The 19,800-nt window shown below is 35.1% G+C and overlaps 1 long non-coding RNA gene across 3 annotated transcripts in view; it reads left to right on the top strand.

The window, feature by feature from the left end:
• The window catches only part of LOC105373664 (uncharacterized), a 30,933-nt gene extending 12,301 nt beyond the window's left edge, over positions 1-18,632 (top strand). The window contains exons 3-8 of one of the 3 annotated variants that reach the window (XR_923414.2): positions 2,958-3,120; positions 6,093-6,252; positions 10,163-10,404; positions 13,311-13,444; positions 16,158-16,315; positions 18,490-18,632. This is a non-coding gene — a long non-coding RNA (uncharacterized LOC105373664). The remainder of the gene's footprint in view (positions 1-2,957; positions 3,121-6,092; positions 6,253-10,162; positions 10,405-13,310; positions 13,445-16,157; positions 16,316-18,489) is intronic. The other 2 variants (XR_923415.1, XR_923416.1) reach the window with 2 other exon arrangements.
• Positions 18,633-19,800: the final 1,168 nt, after the last annotated feature.

The raw sequence follows: 19,800 nt of genomic DNA, 5'->3' as shown, positions 1-19,800 counted from the left end.
TATTCTTTGAAGGGAGAAATATCTTCATAATTATTGATTTCAATAATAGGTGAAATGATTTTGTTAAGTATTCAACAGTCAGTATGAAATTATCTCTGCCTTCAAAGTACATACAATCTTACAGGACAAAAGATAAGAAAATAAGCACTACTGAGATTAGTTTATGTAGTGAACATCTTACAGTAGATGGCCCCTGCCCTTGTGGAATGATCTACATTTATATTGATGATGATACAAGGTATGTGTAAAATTCTCATGATCTTAATGTTTGTGGGCCATTAAGTTCTAGATTAGAGAAATAGTTCAAGATTCAACAATGAGGCAATAAGAGGCTCAACATATTAGTGATAGAAATGCCATGATTCATCCACATTAAAATTTTTTTGAATTAGCCCCTAAAACCTTCCTACCATTATAGGAAAATAGTGGCTGCTATTCTTCCATTCCCCTGCCATTAACATATTCTAGGCATAATGTGATCTGCTGTGGATTATTTTTTCTTTCTTTGCAATGATACTATTGATGTTGAAATAAACATATATTAAAATGTTAAGAAGGCAGGGAATGGCAGTGGATTGAGTATGATTTTTAAGGACTTTTGCTTTCTAGATCAATCACAGAAATATCAAAGACTAAAAATTCAAAAGTAAAAAGTAACTTGTAATATAGTAAGTTATGCTAATACTAAGTTAAGGTTTGGAGGAATAATACATTTTCTTCGAAAAGTTGCTTTACTTTATGTACTCACAATTTCTCAAGCCAAGTAAAGAGTGAACATATAGAGTAATAAATGACAGTATCCAACTGGCTGTTTTTTACCAAACAAAATTGTAGAAAAAAGACATTTAAAATTAAACACTTATTTCCAATTGCTGAAAAATGACTAGCTGGTAAACAATGAATACTTTACAAATGTTTAATACACATAAAACAAAATAGATTTGTGAGAGCATATTCAGAATCTCTTCTTTGTCTTTTTGTTTTGTAGTAAATATTTTATGTATTAAAAGTAGGTAAGTAAATATGATCATTTTAAAGTCTGAGATTGTTGCTCATGCAATATCTAATCTACCGTGCTAGAGAAAAATCTTGGTACCTCTATACAACTGAAATGTTTTCTTTAAAAAATGGTAGCAAATATCCAGTTCTAAAATATAAAAATTAAAATCATTGAAACAAAGGAAGTTTACCTACAATGATATCTATCCATCTATATATGTATATATCTATATCTATATGTATACATGTGTATATCTATATCTATCTATCTATATATATATACATAGAGAGAGAGAGAGAGAGAAGTGCATTTAAAAGAGAGTAAAAAATAATCTACAGGGAATGAATTTTTAAGAATTGCTTGGCATAAAAGTATTCTGTGATGTAAGAAAAGAAAACATCCTTGACTCACCCAGATAATAAAGAACTGAAATAACCAATGTAAAAATGACTAACACACTGAATACTTTTCAAAATACTGAGGACCTTTGAAATGATTCAAGTGTGCAATTATCTTATTTACAGATGAATACATTGAAACAGAGAGAGCTATATGACTTGTTCAAAGTCACACATATAATTAGTCGCAGAGCTCAAAATATTCTCAAGTCTTCACATCTAACTCAAGATAAAAACACGTTTACAATGGCCTCCAATGCAGTGCCAGTCAGGGCCCTAGCAGGAAATTGATGGTGCGCCAGAAATTTAACTAAGGATCATTTAATAATGGATTTACTAACAGAGGTGTGGGTAGGGTTAAAAAAGCCAATGATGGAAGGAAAGCATCTTGGGAATAACAGTAATGAGAAGCTACTGTGCCTCCTAGATGTGAAAAGGAAAAAAGAATGAAACTTCTTGCTAGAGTTTATAGAGAGCTTGGGGCCGTGGGTGAAGGGCCATCTAACAGAAGAGGTAACTGGAACACAATCACTGATAGAATCAAGGCAAAGCAGGGAAGAAGCAGAGGTGGGGTTGGGGATACTTTTCTTTTCTTTCTCTTTCTTTCTTTTTTCTTTGTTTCTTTCTTTCTTTTCTTTTCTTTCTTTCTTTCTTTCTTTCTTTCTTTCTTCTCTCTCTTTCTCTCTCTCCTTCCCTCCCTCCCTCCTTTCTTTCTTTCTTTCTTTCTTTCTTTCTTTCTTTCTTTCTTTCTTTCTTTCTTTCTTTCTTCTCTCACTGTCTCTCCTTCCCTCCCTCCCTCCTTTCTTTCTTTCTTTCTTTCTTTCTTTCTTTCTTTCTTTCTTTCTTTCTTTCTTTTTTTCTCTTATGGTGCCTTCATTTGGGAAACTCAAATCAAGGTTATGGGAGCCTACATAAGGCAGTCCATAGACATCAACCTCCTGAGGCTCAGAGCATTGCAGAGAAAGCTGGAAAATGTTCTGGAATGGGTAAATAGCACATGGCTCATCAGCTTAGTAATTCTTATGCCAAACATTATGTTTTGTCATTTTACAATCCATTAAAACCTATAAAGAAAAACCCCGGTGCCATCTCTGACCAAACTGCTCTCCATCTCACCAACAAATGTTTTTACCACTTCAGAGAAAAATTGAAAGTTATCAGATGTAATAGACTATTTCTAAACTTTCTAACACTGCAACTTTAAGAGTTACCCTCATTTACACTTAATTTTTTCTTGCTTCCCCTACCAGAGTATTCCCATTGCTTGTGCTATAGATCCTAGCTCTACTATTAGGTTGGTGCAAAAGTAACTGCGGTTTTTGCCATTACTTTTAATACTTTACTGCCTTCTCCTTCTCACTCACTCCTGTCTTTATTTTGAATGTTGCCCTTTTCACTGGCTTCATTTAATTAGCATTCAAATGTAGCAAATCTTACTAATCATTTTAAAAGTACAAAGATTGTATTATTCAGAGGCATAATACCTATTGTAAAAATATCCCCCAAATTTCACCATATGGGTGCTTAATACAATAAAGTTTAATTTTTCATTATGACAGAGTTCAGCTCAAGAAAGTTCTACACAGAGATCTTTCCATCCTGTGATTATGTCACTTCCTAGGTCTGGGAAGAACACCATTTAATTCTCCGCAACTGGAAGCAAGCGAGGAAAAAGAAAGACTGTGAAGAAGCTCATGAGATATTTTAGGGACCAGTCCTGAGGTACTGATTTCACTTTTTCCTTTTTTTGAGACGGAGTCTCGCTCTGTCGCCTAGGCTGGACTGCAGTGGCGCGATCTCAGCTCACTGCAAGCTCCGCCTCCTGGGTTCACGCCATTCTCCTGCCTCAGCCTCCCAAGTAGCTGGGACTACGGGCACCCGCCACAAGGCCCAGCTAATTTTTATTTTTTTTTAGTAGAGACAGGGTTTCACCATATTTGTCAGGCTGGTCCCAAACTTCTTACCTTAGGTGATCTGCCCACCTTGGCCTCCAAGGTGCTGGGATTACAGGCGTAAACCACCGCGCCCCACCCTGATCTCACTTTTTTATGGATTTGCTAGAATTTAATCACATGGAACCACCTAACTAGAAGAGATGCTGTGAGCCAAGAGGCAAAGATAGATTGTGGACTAGTTTTCTCTGGTTGCCATAACACATTACTACAGGTTTAGTGGCTTAAAACAACACAAATTTAATTATATACCTGCTTTGTAAGTCAGACGTCCAACATGAGTCTTACTAGTCTAAAATCAGCGTGTCGGCAGGGTTGAGTTATTTTCTGGATGCTTTAGGTAAGAATCCATGACCTTTCCTTTTCCAGCCTCTAGAGGCAACCTGTATTCCTTTGTTTATGGTTCCCTTTCTCCATCTTCAAAGTGAGACACTGAATCTCTCTGAGCCTTCTCTTGCTGACCACAGCTAGGGAAAGTCGGCTTTCAAGAACTCATGTAATTAGAATGTATCCACTTGGATAATCCAGGATAATCTCCCCTTTCAAGGCCTGTAACTTTAATCACACCTGTGAAATCCCTTTCTTCCTGTAAGGTAAGATATTTACAGGTTCCAGGAGATTAGGGCGTGGACCTCCTTGATGGTCTGTTTTGCTGCTTACCACAGGTTTGGAGCACACATTGCATTGTGTAGGCCACAAATCACTTCAACTTTCTCTCCAAACATGGATTGTTTTCCTCCTTTCCTTTATGGCCAAACTTTTGAAATGTTTTCTCTATTCATTATCTTCAATTCATTTTTTTCCTATCCATTTCTAAAAACAAAGCAATGCAGACTATCACCTCACCACTCCACTCCAACAGCTTCTGTCAAAGTTTACTATGATCCTGTTCTTGTCAGTGTACCAAAGGGACATCATTCAGTTCTTATATGATAGCATTGGCCATTATTAACGTATCTCGCTTACAATGCTTTTTTTTCTTGACTTTCTTAATGTTTCTACTATCTTTTCTTTCAGCTCCTTCTCAGTCTTCATTATGGATGTCTCTTCTTTTCATCCATAAATATTTTTAGTCTCTTGATTCGCTTGGGTGCCCATATATGAAATGACATACTCCACAAACTTGGCATACAAAAGATATACATTTTATTTTCTATTTAAGACTGACCTGCCCAACTCAACTGTATGTTTGCTCTTACTCTATTGACTTCTTCCTACACCCCCATGGCCTGCCCAATCCAGAACTGCCTAGAGACTAATATTCATTGACTATATATGTGATATGATATTTTCATACAGACCATCTTATTTAATATTTCTAATAGTCCTATGAGGTAGGTACTTATATTATCCTTATTGTATAGCTGAATAAATTGAGTTCCAGAAAGGTTGACTAACTTGCATATCCTATAATCTTCATCTGTATCACTCTAAACAGCACAGCCCCAGAGGTATGCTTAGTATGGAAAGATGAAATGGCTCTAGATTGATTCGTGAAGAGGAACTAAATAATGTTCCTGAGGAGAAGGGTGATACTGTTGTTTGTCAAACCACATTATAAAGCAGTTTCATTTGTTATTTTGTTTGTTTGTTCATTTATTTATTTATTCACTTTTGACCAGAGGAAAGAAGAATCAAAATGAGATTTTTGGTAAAATCCCAGCCACTGTCAATGAACACAGTAGATGTGGAGGTGACTATAGTTAAAATTCTAGACCCTATCTTCAGTTTAGTCGATCACTCAAGGGCGCGGATTGAGTGTGCACTCTACAAAGAACATTGTGACTTTAACCTGCCCTTAAGTATGGCTTTGTTGGTAAAAGTCCCTGACTTGAGTTATAAATAATCACAAAAGAATGTTTTTCCTCCATTTTGCATGAAGCATGATAATACAAGTAGAGGGAGTAAGGTCCTGAAACCTTTGGGCAATCATGCTGAGAAGAAGCACCTGTCCTCCCTGGGCAGTAGCCCAACACACCTTCCATACTCCTCACAGCTAGCTGCCTCTCAAATGAGAGTGTACTCTCTCTCCTCTCTTTGTTCTTTCATTTGCTGTCTCTCTGTGTTCTCTCCTTTGTTCTCGCTCTCTGTTCTCTCATTGGCTTTTCTTCTCTCCTTTCTCTCTCTTGCTTTTCTCAATTATTTTTGCTCGTCTTCTGTCTCTTCTCCTCCCACTTTTTCTCTTTCCCCCTGCTCATTCTTTTTCACTCTCTCCTTTCTCGCAGAGAAAAGTTTCAATTTCAGTTAGCATTTAGAGTGAGTCTTACTTTCTCTGATCTAGTTAATCCATCCTGACTGTGAAGTTCATCCAGCAGTAGTATAATTCCTCAAAAATTGCAGCCTAATGAGAGGACCAAGTGACCCTGAAAGCTGCACTGTCAGGGGCTGACGAGCCAGCTAGATAGTCTAACTTAAACTTGACATTTTAGAAACATGTGCTCCTCATTGGGAAAACATATCACATTTCTAGTAAAAAGTTTTAATATTATTTTGTTATATGTTAGAGGATTTCATGCCTCTTACATATTTTGAATAGATAGCACTAAAACGCAAACCAAATAAAAATAATTAAAAACCTACACTGAACATTGAAATGCAAGTCTGGAGCTATGTTCTTTCAACAGAGGCAAGAAGAAGAAATTTCAGTACTGCACTTGTTATTTGACCCTAATCATTGTAATTATGGAAGTCATCCCCGCAAAGAAGTAAACCCTTGTTTTTATTATATTTTTATCTCCACAGCATTTTTATGGTTGGAAAGTATCTTTGTTGTTATTAACTTGTTTAAAGCCAGTTTCTGTCATCTTTAAAAACCACTTTTTGAAAACGAGGAAATCATTGTATTTTCTGCTATATCCCTGGCATCTAGCACAGTGCCCAGCCTATGGTAGACACATACAAGGTAAGATTGCCTTCTAATACTTAATCTGAAAGCTTCTGGCAGGAAACTAAATGAAATGGGTATTTGCTATGCCCTTAGTGAGGTCGTTATGAGTGGAAAAAGCGAATGGGAGTGAGTGAAAGGGAGAAACATTGAGAGTTCATCAGAAAAATATCATCTATTCAATAGAAGTCAACTCCAAAAATGCTCATTATGTACTTTCTAACCTACAACATTTCAGCATTTAAGAAAATTACAAATGGCAGGTGTTTTCTTTATGCTCCTGAAATCCATTGGGTTTGCCATGGAGAGAAAAGGGGGAAAAATGTCAACTCATTTGTACATTTCATATAATAAACTTCATAAATTTATCTCCTCATTTTCATGTGTAAAAATAGTTCTTATTAAGTGCAAGGCACCATTTTGGACTGAAGGATGACACATGACTTCACTCTTCAGAAAGTGTGATGTTATAGAAACACTACCCTAAGCTTGACCCTTTTATATTCTTGACTTGAATGGTTGACTTCACCGCTTTGAGAGGCCCAAAGAAGTACTATGGCCCTGAAGGCTCTTCTAACGTCCCATCCTTATTTCGCTTTTGTCAGTTTTTTAAACTCTGAACACTCCTAATCATCATAGAGCACATGCTGTTTCCCCAGACAGGATACTCTTTCTTAAATCTCTGCTTGTTAATGCTTGCTATTTCTTCAGATCTTAAATGTTTATAATTGCTTGAGGAAAATTTGACTTGTCCTCTCTCACTAGGTTAAATGTGTTCTGATATGCTCTCACTTTACTACATTTTTATTTTAAACATAGTAGCTCTTTTACATGTATTACTGTGATCATTTGGTTAATGTCTGTCTCCATGACTGGTTTGAAAGATCCATGTAGACATAGTGATCACTGAAGAAGTATGTGTTTAGAGAATATGTAGATGCAAAACCACCAGGTTGTATCTACAAACTGTAGATCTTATGAATGCTGCTGGGTTTTAAACTCTAGATTGAGTCAATTTAACAGCAATAATACAAAAGTAAACAAGCAAACCAAAAAATGAGAAGAAATAGATCTCTTATGATAGGCATTTTACGTAAAGTCAATGTCCAGAGAGTGGATTTTTATTTTTTAATTTTGTCATGAATGTTTGGACTTACATAAATATGACAATGGTCTATAACATATATCTCTTATTCAGTTCATCTTTTTTTTAACTGTTTCTTAACTTGTCCATTCTTTACCTCAGCTATGAGCTAACACCTAAAGAATGTAAATAGTAAAAATCAATAATAAGGCAAAATCTAGTTCTAATATTCATTTGAACTCCAGAATTCATTCATTCATTCATCCATAAACTTTCAAAATCAAATATTTATCTAGCACCTAGAATACAAAAGAACATATGTGATACAAAATACCTTGATATACCAAATGCATAAACGTTTTTATTCTCAAGCAGTCCTTGATTTAACATAGAACTTAAAATAATTCTATTAATACCTGCAGTAGAACGCCAATGGGATGAGTGCTGTTAGGTGCTAAAAGTAATAGCAGCAAATTTTAGAAGAGATCTCAATTACTAGTAGGGGCTATGGGTAAAGGAAAGATGTCAAGAAGGTAGCATTTGCATTGTGCATGAAAGAATTAGAGTTTTGTTTTGTTAAAAAAAATCAGGCAGAGAGAAAGACATTAATGAAAGTGAGAAGACCAATGATCTCCATTGGGGAGCCCAAGGAATCCAGTTTAACTGATGTGGAAGAATGTTGTATAGAAGAATGAAAGGCAAAGTTGATAGGAAGATTGAACTCATTTGTCAAAGGCCTTGAATTAATTTGACTAGATATTCCATCTCGCCCATGATTATCCCATTTTATACCTGCTTTCCCAGCATCCTATCTGATTTGCCATTTGAAAATATTATTCCCTTAATAGTTTTAAATAGAACCACGTATGTCTACCAAATATAGAAATTAATTTTAATGAATTAATATTTATAAAATTATAATTTTATACCTTTAGCACCCCATTTTGCTCATAAATAGATCTTAGCTTGAAAGATAAATTCCATAATAACCCCAGCAGCAAAGTAATTTACAGTTATTTATTAGAAGTAAGATAATGAGAAAATAATCTCCCTTATTTTAATGAGATAATATACTATAATATAGAGGGAATTAAGTGAAAAATGTATAGAATATTACTCAACATATGTTAGTTTTGTGCCTTTTTTCATAACTAAAGAAACTAAAGTTCCTATTATCAAGTATTTTTCAGATCTGTAAATATCATTTTATATAAAGCGTATTTTTCTAAATAGCTTATAGCTGCATTTATAAAAATGGAGTTCCATGGTCAAATACATTTGGATCAGAGAATATTTTATCATCCGCTTAAATAAAATATTGGATACAATTATTACACATTCATAATGAACATTGAAGACTTTTAGGTGTTTTGCAATGAACAAATTTGTTTAACTTTTTGTCACCCTATTTACCAAATCTATTAGAGCATAGAACTCTTTTAGCAAGTATAATAGAAAGGCATAATGCAGGAAGAAAAAATACGTATCCCAAATTACTATGGGAACTATTGTGGGACTTATTCCTCACAATAGTTCCCATAGTAATTTGGGATATATTTTTGTTGATAAATGTTGATTTCTCTTAGTATAAATAAACATTTAGTGATATTCGTAAGTAGTCATGAATGCAACCAATCAGCATTTTATTTCCCTAAATTCTAAGTAGCTGAGGGTTTTTGTTGGGGGTGGTGGTAGATGGGATATTTCACGTCGAGACTTTAGGGACCATAACACAATTAAGCTGAAGTGCATCCAAAGCATAGTTTACCATGCTCCTTACTCTCAGGGAAGTGAATATCTAAAAATCCTTCAGAGTTGATAGCTCTTTTTATTTCTCTCAGCTTTATAAGGAGGGAAACTTTCCAGTTGCCCATATCAGCCCATTCTGGTAGTATCCCTTTCCAGGGCAGCCCTCAATTGAGATGTTTTTGCTAAAGGTCCAACTCAACTCTCTACTGCTTTTATTCGAGTGTATTCCTTTGTGTTTGGTCTGTCACAGACACTCAGAACAACTGCTGAGCATCCTTCTCATAAATGTTTCATATACTTGACGACAGTATTTATCCCTTCATTTCCGCATATTTGGATTTTATTCAATATCTTTTTGGTTGGTGTGGAAGAAAGGGAGATGGCACTTATGTTTCATACTCCACATTGCTGCCAGCTCTATCTAAAACACAAATTGATAATGTCAGTCCCTGCTTACAATCTTCTCATGATTTCCCACTTCCTCCAAAGCCCAACCACCATAACATAGGCCAACTAAGACCCCTCATCTTCCTGCATTTGCCTCCCTTCTTGCCTGAATTCTTAATAATAACCAACTTTTACCACAGACACGCCAGAATAAAGTATGCAACACACCTTTTTGTTTTAAAACTCCATCCTTTTGTGTTTTGCTGTTTTCCGTGCCAAGAATGCCCTTTCCTGCCTTTTTCAGGTTAATGATACTCATGCTGTAAGGCTTTGTTTAAATGACAATTAAGTTACATGTTTTTTCATGCCCACCAGGCACAGTTGTTCACTCCTTCTGTGCTATTTCATGTTTGTGCTGACTTCTTTTATTCATATTATAACCTTGAAGCATAATTACATATTCACCTGCATTTTCCCCCACTACATTGTGACAGTGCTTGGGACAGAATATGCTTAAATCATTAAATCTAGTAAATGAAAACTGATACAGGTAAAGGGTTTATTTTTCTCAGGAAACCAGAATTCCAGGAGTAGGGAGTCCAGGGGGAGTACTACATCCCAACCCCAACAGGGAATTGACCCACTCCCCCTGTGTGTAGGTCCCCAGCCTCAACCTGATTGCTCAGCCAGCCACTTCTTCCCCTCCAGATCTCCCATCCACCTCCAGGTATCACATTGACAGACCTGACTTAAAAAAAAAAAAAAAAAGAAAGAAAGAAAGGAAGAAAAGGAAGAAGAAAGAAAGAAAGGAAGAAAAGGAAGAAGGTTTTGGGCTTGGCAACAGATTTCTCTAAAATACCTAGAAAACTTCACTTACATCTTACCTCCACTTACATTACCGTGAGAATTACATGGCATACCTCACCTTTATTGCAAGAGAGTTTGGAATGGTGAGTATTGCGGACTGGACATATTTTCCCCCTTAAGAAATTAAAGGTTTTTGTAGCAAGGAAGAACAGCAGATGATACAGGCAACTTGTAGACTTTGCTACTGAGACTTTGCCTTTGATATCCTGAATTATACTTTTCACATCCTAGGTGCTCAATGATTATTAAATAAATGAAAGACAGAATGACCAAGTCTGGTTTTTAAAACTACAAGCTTTCTAATTTAATCTTCCTCTAAGCATATGTGTGCTTTACACCAAGAGTTCATAGTATTTAAGTAATAATTTCTGGATATTCTTCGTTTTTACAGAATTTGAGTAAGATAACAGGCATTTTCCTCTTTTTAGCCTTCTTTCTTTTTTAACATTGCAAAGTGAAGACTTTGAATAAATAAATTACCTGTGCAACCATAACTACAAATATTAGTTTCAAACTTTTTATTGAAGGAATCCATTTTTATCATTTAATGACAAATGATCAAAGCATTGACATTGTCATATATCTAAAAAACAGTCACTCAAGAATTTTGCATAGTAATGTTAGTTTCTAGGATTCTATGACTTCCCATAGAACATATTTTTCTTTTTCTGGAAAATCAATTATTATTTCTATAAAAATGAAAAAGCAGAGTATATATGTATACTGTAAAGTACACCCATTTATTTAAAGCCAATACTGGCTTTATATAAAAACACAGTGAAGATAATTTTATTCTTTTCCCCACCTTTATTTTCTTTTACCAATTCTTCCTGATCTGATACATTAAAATTTAAAAAGCCAAATGTTTATTGAACATCTCCTATGTGCCAGACACTGATCTAAGTGCTCAGAATTTATTAGGAAATGTATAAATTATATACATAATCTATGTATTTATATTTCTTCCATATTTATATTATATGGAATAAATGCATTTTAGATACTCTTCCTGTAAACAAACTTCTAAGTAGTTTACTTTGACTTTCCATATTACTAAATCCAATGATTAGTTCTCTGTTCCTAACTTGAACAGAACTATCAGCAGTATTTTGACACATGGCCAATTATTGCCTCAATTTAACAATACCCTCCACACACGGCTTCCAGGACATTATGTCTTCTTGAGGTCATCTTGTCTGACATTTACATCTTCTCAGTCTCCTTTGCTAATTCTTTCTCATCTACTCAAACTCAACAAAGTCTCCAAGACTCAAACCTTAGACTCTTCTCTTTTTTTTTTTTTTTTTGCTTTTATCTACCCACTTTTTACACGTGATTTTATCTAATCCTATGGCTTTAAATACTTCATAAGGAGCTGAAAACTCCACTAGTAATAGCTGTTCTGAACTTCAGTCTTATATATTCAACTCTCTGCCTAACATGCTCATATGAGTTTTGATAAGGCATCTCAAATCTAACATAAATAAAGTCAGACTTCTTATCCCTGTTCACCTATCTCAAAGTTGCTCTCTCTATAGTGGTTCTCAACTTAGCAAAGGGCAATTCATTTTTATTTTTCAGTTGCTTAGGCTAAAATATATGCATGTTTTCCTAACCCTTTCTTTCTCTCACATTCAACACTCATCCAGCAGCAAATCCTATTCTCTTTAACTTTAAATAGTCAAAGGCCAACCATTTCTCATTATGTCCATTACTATACCACCTTGGTCTAACCCATCATTATTCTTTGCCTACATATTTGCGAAGGTCTTCTAAATTGAGCTTATTGCAACCATTGTTCCCTATAGCCTAGTTTGAAAGTAGGATGAAAATTAATCAGATAATGTTACTTATTGTTTTAAAACTTTTCAGTAGTGTACTTCTCAATCAGTGTAAAATCCAACACCCTTACAATGTCCTATGTGGTTTTATACTATTATAATTCTGATTTCACTTGCTATGTGGACTCTGAGCCTGCTCCAGAAACACTTGTCTCTTTCCTGTTCCTTGATCTTCCCAGAAATCTCCACTTCAATGCCCTTTTACTTATTGTTCTTTCTCCTGCCATTTTGCCCCCAGATATCTATCTGGTTCCCTCCCTTGTTTTCTACAGTTCTCTGTTTAAATGTCACCTCAATGAGGTCCTGCTTGATGATCCTTATAAAGTGGCCCAATGACTACCTGACCCTGAACCTGGAACTTCCTTTTCTTATTTCACTTTAGTTTTTCCCATTGGATTTATTAAAATCCACCCAACCAACCAAGTATATATTTATGATTTGTTGTTGTTTATTGCCTATCTAGCCATTCCAGAAGTTAAATTCATGATGTCAATAACTATCTGTTTTGTTTATGTCCCCAGCAGTTAAAATAGTGGTTGGCATATGAGAAACACAGTAAATATTTTTATTTAATAGAAATAAATAAATAAGCTAAAAAAATATATAGATAACATTATGTTTCTTTAACAAAAACAACAGAACAAACCCTCTTCTAAGTTCTGAGTAAGCGTTTGATTTATGCACATTAATGATTCAAATCAAAAGATATCAAAAAGTATTTGAATTCAAATCTTTCATACAGTTTATAGTCTACCTTTTTCTTTTATTAGTTGACTAGGACTTGGGTTTATAGCAATGTACAGAAACAGAATCTGTATCTATTAATAATCAAAAGAGGAAAATCAAAGAAACATGTGCTAATTAAACATGTCTTTCTTTATTATACGTGTCTATTGCAACTTAAGCACCACTTTAGTTTCTATGGTCTCATAGGTTATAATTTTCTTTTATCAGAATAAGAATGTTTTAAATGGCTTCTTTTAGATGATGAGAAGGTATTTGCTGATCATTTAGAATAGCTTACCAAGTAAAATATATGTTAGATGGTTTTCTACTTACAACTTACATAGAAGTAAACCTGAAAGACCAGAGAGCAATTTCTTCTAATAATAAATTAAACTATTACCTGCTTCTTTTTCATTTTTCAGCTTAAAGGTGGTCAAAATGGACTTAAAAAAAGAAAATCAGAGAAAGAAATAACTTCCAATTGCCTGTTTGCATGTATTAGTATGGAGATTTGTCTTTTAACATTTAGAGAAAAAATTACTTGGAAAAAAAAGAGGTGAAAGCCTTTAATGTTTCTAGACATTCTACTTCCATGCAACGTCCTCAGACAGATGATGGTGCTTCCCTTTTCCACACAGAAATTGTAAACTAAAGAGAAAACTATTTGGGTATAAAGATCTTCATGATGACCTCTTGCTCTTCTTCTCCTCAAAATGCTCTCCTCCTCAAAAAGTTCAACTTACACAGTATTGTGAAAATGGGGTGCCCACCCCTCTACTTTGTTCATTTTTATAATTTATTTAATTATGCTTTATTTTCTCATACCCTTCAGGTCTTCCTCATTCCATTATAACTCACCTTTGTAGCACCCACAAGTAGTGAAACGAATGTGACAAGGAATGAACAGATGTTTAGTCCAACTCCACAAATTCCATTTATGAATGGGGCCTATTATGCTGGTGATATGCAGTTACAAAATATTCTATAAAATTTCTTGATTTATTTACTCTCCAGTACAACTAGCAATTAGATGGATAGATAGACAGACAGATACATAGGAGACTCCAATATTTAATTTATTCTGGGTCCAAAGTTCAGACATTTTAATAATAAGTGTTTTGTTTCAGTTTCTTTTAATCTTCCTGAAATGTCACCTTGAGCTCAAATACACACACACACACACACGTGTATACATATATAGCACATCTATATATACATATACATACCAATAAACATATATAGAAAAGAATGAGTAATTCCAATATAATATGAAATACAAATAACTGTAAGGGATCCAACATCTGTCTAAAAAGATGCTTTTATGCACAAATATGGAAAGCCTCCTCATGATCGTTATTGCTTCAGAGGCGAGAGCAAACACATTCAAAAGCTAGCAGAAGGCAAGAAATCACTAATATCAGAGCAGAACTGAAGGAGATAGAGACACAAAAAACCCTTCAAAAAATCAATGAATCCAGAAGCTGGTTTTTTGAAAGGATCAACAAAATTGATAGACCGCTAGCAAGACTAATAAAGAAGAAAAGAGAGAAGAATCAAATAGATGCAATAAAAAATGATAAAGGGGATATCACCACTGATCCCACAGAAGTACAAACTACCATCAGAGAATACTATAAACACCTCTATGCGAATAAACTAGAAAATCTAGAAGAAGGGAATAAATTCCGAGACACATACACCCTCCCAAGACTAAAGCAGGAAGAAGTTGAATCTCTGAATAGACCAATAACAGGCTCTGAAATTGAGGCAATAATTAATAGCTTACCAACCAAAAAAAGTCCAGGACCAGATGGATTCACAGCCGAATTCTACCAGAGGTACAAAGAGGAGCTGATACCATTCCTTCTGAAACTATTCCAAACAATAGAAAAAGAGGGATTCCTCCCTAACTCATTTTATGAGGCCAGCATCATCCTGATGCCAAAACCTGGCAGAGAAACACACACACACAAAAAGAAAATTTCAGGCCAATGTCCCTGATGAACATCGATGTGAAAATCCTCAATAAAATACTGGCAAACCAAATCCAGCAGAACATCAAAAAGTTGATCCTCCTCTATCAAGTCAGCTTCATCCCTGGGATGCAAGGCTGGTTCAACATATGCAAATCAAGAAACATAATCCATCACATAAACAGAACCAATGGTAAAAACCACATGATTATCTCAATAGATGCAGAAAAGGCCTTCAATGAAATTCAAAACCGCTTCATGTTAAAAACTCTCAATAAACTAGGTATTGATGGAACATATCTCAAAATAATAAGAGCTATTTTTGACAAACCCACAGCCAATATCATACAGAATGGGCAAAAACTGGAAGCACTCCCTTTGAAAACTGGCACAGGACAAGGATGCCCTCTCTCACCACTCTTAATCAACATAATATTGGAAGTTCTGGCCAGGGCAATCAGGCAAGAGAAGGAAATAAAGGGTATTCAAATAGGGAGAGAGGAAGTCAAATTGTCTCTGTTTGCAGATGACGTGATTGTATATTTAGAAAACCCCATCATCTCAGCCCAAAACCTCCTTAAGTTGATAAGCAACTTCAGCAAAGTCTCAGGATACAAAATCAATGTACAAAAATCACAAGCATTCCTATGCACCGATAATAGACAAACAGAGAGTCAAATCTTGAGTAAACTCCCATCCACAATTGCTACAAAGAGAATAGCAAGAATCAATATTGTTTAAATGGCCATACTGCCCAAAGTCATTTACAGATTCAATGCTATGCCCATCAAGCTACCATTGACTTTCTTCACAGAATTAGAAAAAAATACTCTAAATTTCATGTGGAACCAAAAAGAGCCAATATAACCAAGACAATCCTAAGCAAAAAGAACAAAACTGGAGGCATCATGCTACCTGACTTCAAAGTATTCTACAAGGCTACAGTAACCAAAACAGCATGGTACTGTCTTCTAGTTTATAATCTTCCCACAACCTGTACAGCATGCTGCACACATTTTTGAAACATGTGATTGAAAGCTAATTGTTTCCTAGACAGCCACATAAAAGAAACTTCTTCTGGGACATCAAGATTACAGAGTCTGATTTAGAACATACCGGAATCCTGAATATACTGGCACAAATGAATCACATGCCAAAATAAAACAAAGCAAAATATCTTTCTCCTCCAGTAAGACCTGCCCTGCATAGCTAAGCTGGAATCAATGTCTGCAAGAGGTTGAAGTAGATACAGGAGAGTCTTGCTCTTGTTCAAATCTCTTAAATTTGGATTTCCAGGTTACCTACAGAAATGATGTCGAACTTGAGATGATTTCACGGACTCAAGGACACCTTCATTGGTCTTCCCAAATTTGGAGTGCACTCTTAACCCTTTCTTTGACCACTTTCTCACACCTAAAGCTGTTTAATAGGAGCAGCACTTTCAACTATCAGAGGTGAGACTTAAAATACAAACGCAACTGGGAGAAGTCTATTAACTTACAGCCATTCTACCCTACAAAAGATATTTCCCTTTCTTAGGTGAACATCCTGATGGAGGGCAACAAAAGTCAGGGGTGTGTGTTCTCCAAAAGGGGCATGACATGTACGTTTTTACACTTTTTCTTTGACTCAAATATTCTTGCTGTCTTGAACCCCCACTGTAGTCTACCACAAGAAAAGAGACCAAGGTCACTTTTTGTTTAAGGCTTATATTGTAACACAGGTAACAAAACAAACAAATAAGTTTTAAAAGTGTGGCTTTTTCCAGATAGTTTAGGTTAGACTCTCAAGAGTGACTCTCACTGGCTGGTTTGTGTCATGTGCCCAATACTGAGCTCATTAGAGTGGCCAGGTCATTGGCATATCCTAATTGCCTGGGCTAGGCTCAAATGTCCATTTTGGGAACCAGGAAGTGAGACTTTTCTACAATAAATACATAAACTGAGAAAAAGAGACTGGTTGTTCCCAATGATCTTCTTGTATTTTGTTATTTGCAAAACTGATCATCTAGCCCAACTGCTGCTTATATCCCTAAGTTTAGAGGATACTTCAGTTGAATTTTCATCCTAAAGAGAAAAAAAAACAATATTTGACCTGACAGTGCTGGGTTTATACTTTGCTCATCAATATCTTTTAAAGAATTCCTTAAGTAGGTCAACTCTAGATGAACAATCAACTCTAAAAATGTTACTTAGTGTATTTTAATTCCCTAAATATAAATATAAGTAATTTAGATGTAATGGATGTTGTTACCTATAATTTTGGGTTGATCTTTACAACCCTTGGAAACTCATCCTGAGTCCTATGCATAATAAGTACTCAATCAATATATGTCAAATTTAATGGAATTTATTTTTTTGAGCCACATTCCTGATGGGGATTATTAGAGTCATTGTGATGTGTCTGTAGGTAACTATGAAAAAAAGAAAGCCATCTGCCTGCCCCCCAAAAAATTATTAAGAAATGTAAGCAAAGTTTGAAAGATTAGGATGTTTATATCACTCTGAGCCATATATTTAAACTCATTGTCATGACTCATTAATGAATTGTAAGAAATTTCAGGGGTTGTTACAATAGCTAAACAATGTTAAAAATATAACATAGAATGTAAAAATGAAATAGAAAAGGAAGAATAAAACTGGGTGCATCACACATAGCAGGGATAAGTATTGATCCATGACATTTTATTTTATTTGTTCTTTGCATGTCTGCGTATGTACTAGGCTGCACCACAAAACATAGTTCTTTCAATCCATTGCAGTCAAAAAAGTTTAAAAAATATCACCCCTGGAGTGATGGTATGTGTTTTCTTTGTCAGTGTCCACGGTTTATGTTGTCAGCTGATAGCAGAATCAGACTGCAACATTGACACCTAACATGTAACCATACTTGGCAGATGAAGACCTTGGAGAGCATGTGCCATGTATGAATCCAGCTTAGGCAGGTTTTCAATTTGTCCAAAAGGTACTCATTGGTTTGGAACTCTGTGGATGTATGTGTCATTTGGTATGGATGGATTTGTCTGACTTCTTGTGAAATCAATGTTTATTGACAAAAATCTATTTTGTTGTTTTGTCCCAGAAATCTATATTGGCACCATTCCCTGTGGATATTTGGCTAGTCAGTGGCAACCAGAGATGCCAGCTAGAGTTTTTACTGTTTTTATGGTGCCAGCTGCTTTCTTGGCTTAGGTTTCTTTTGTTCAGATTGTAAATGAGGGCAAGACACCCAAATCCACCCCAGTGTGCTCAGTGGGAAATGACAGGAGCCCAATAGCTTAAGGCTAAGCACCAGGAGCTTTCATGAATGAAGGGTCATATACAGTGGTAGCTGTAACTGTGGAACTGTGCTAATAGATGTTATGCACAAAAGTGCTGGAGAACCGTATATGTGAGAGTGTATCTGTGTGTTTCGTATGTGTTTGGAAAAGAATTTTTTTATTGGAATGTCACTGTTTTTAACTAAATGAGATGATTGATTTTGTTTAAATGCGTAAGAAAGCACTCAAAGTGTAGGAAAAATTTCTCCTCACAGAGTTATAAATATGTGATAGATTTTTTTTACAGCATTCACCAATTACTCCATTGGTGGATTATCTAAGATTCTGTTCTTTTTCTTTTATTCCTAGCTTATGCATTTTGACCATTCCAAGATTCTTTAGGACTTTTGCCAGAGGTACAAAGAAGGAAACAGACAAACAGGAAATTTAAATCTCTCAAATGGTATTATTTGTTTGCCTCTTTTATAAAATTATGGAGATCAGAGATTGAAGATTATGCTTGCAATGAAGAGTTTGAATTATCTGTATATTTAATGATCTGGGCTTTTAGATCTGCTAATTATCATAAGTAATTGAGAGATAAATGAACTGCCCAGGATGTCCCTTAGACCCACCGTGGCAACCATGAGGGTTTCTAGCCGGGCATAAGAGATGGGGCCAGGGAGAGAAAGGGGCTACAGTATGCCAGCATGGAGGGCCAAAGAGAGCCTGATTTCTCTTGAATAACCAGTTTTCATTTGGGGAGATCAGTGATCCAGTTCCACTTACTGGGATGCACTGAAAAAGCAGTTTTAGGTTAAGGGACTATCTCAGATATCTGTTTAAGGCCTGAACCTCACAGTGGGATGAATCATAATTGTGCTACCTCTTAGGGAGAAACAATAAAGAATAGGAAGAGTACATAATGATAGTAATTAAATGAAGATAGTGTCTCCTTTTAGACTGATAAAAATATGACTTCCAAATAAATTTTGATCCTTGGCATAGAAAAAATTTCAATTTTATAATTTTTTATAGTGTTGCAATTTTGATATATATATATTATATATATATTATATATATATATTATATATATATAATATATATATATATATGACAGGCTGTAAATACCTCCAGATTTATTCCTCTGTAATAATAAGTTGTGGAAATTTATTATTTCCACAATATATTATGTGACAAAAATGAATTTATGATCACCCAGGAAAGAAAATCACAATACACTCATAATCTCCTCAGTACTTTTATCCTTTTCTATAGCTAATAAATAGACTTCCTCTGAAAAAAATTGACTCTACCAGAAACCAGAAGAGATAGAAAAGACACACCCTGGGCTCCACCCAATCCTCAAATCAGATGAGAACTTTCTATTTTTTAAAAGAAATACCCCAATAATTGCTTTTCTGCTGCTTTGCATGAAATCATAAGACATGGAACATTTGCCAAATAGTTCTAAGCCTCTTAACATGATCAACTATGTGTGAGTAATGAAAAGGGATTCAGAGGGATTTTTTCAGCAGTGAGATCAAATTTAGAGAAAACTGAAGAATCAACTCAATACCTTTAAAGAAAGCATTTCTAAGAAAATGCTTGGTGAAGAGTAACAGCATGAGCCCTTCTCACTTAAATATTTAGGAAAATGTTGTACTTGTATGCCCACAA

Source organism: Homo sapiens, chromosome 2 (genome assembly GCF_000001405.40).
Source record: "Homo sapiens chromosome 2, GRCh38.p14 Primary Assembly".
Taxonomy (NCBI): Eukaryota; Metazoa; Chordata; class Mammalia; order Primates; family Hominidae; genus Homo; species Homo sapiens.
The sequence above is the reverse complement of the archived record's forward strand: the minus strand, read 5'-3'. Positions and strand labels throughout refer to the sequence as shown.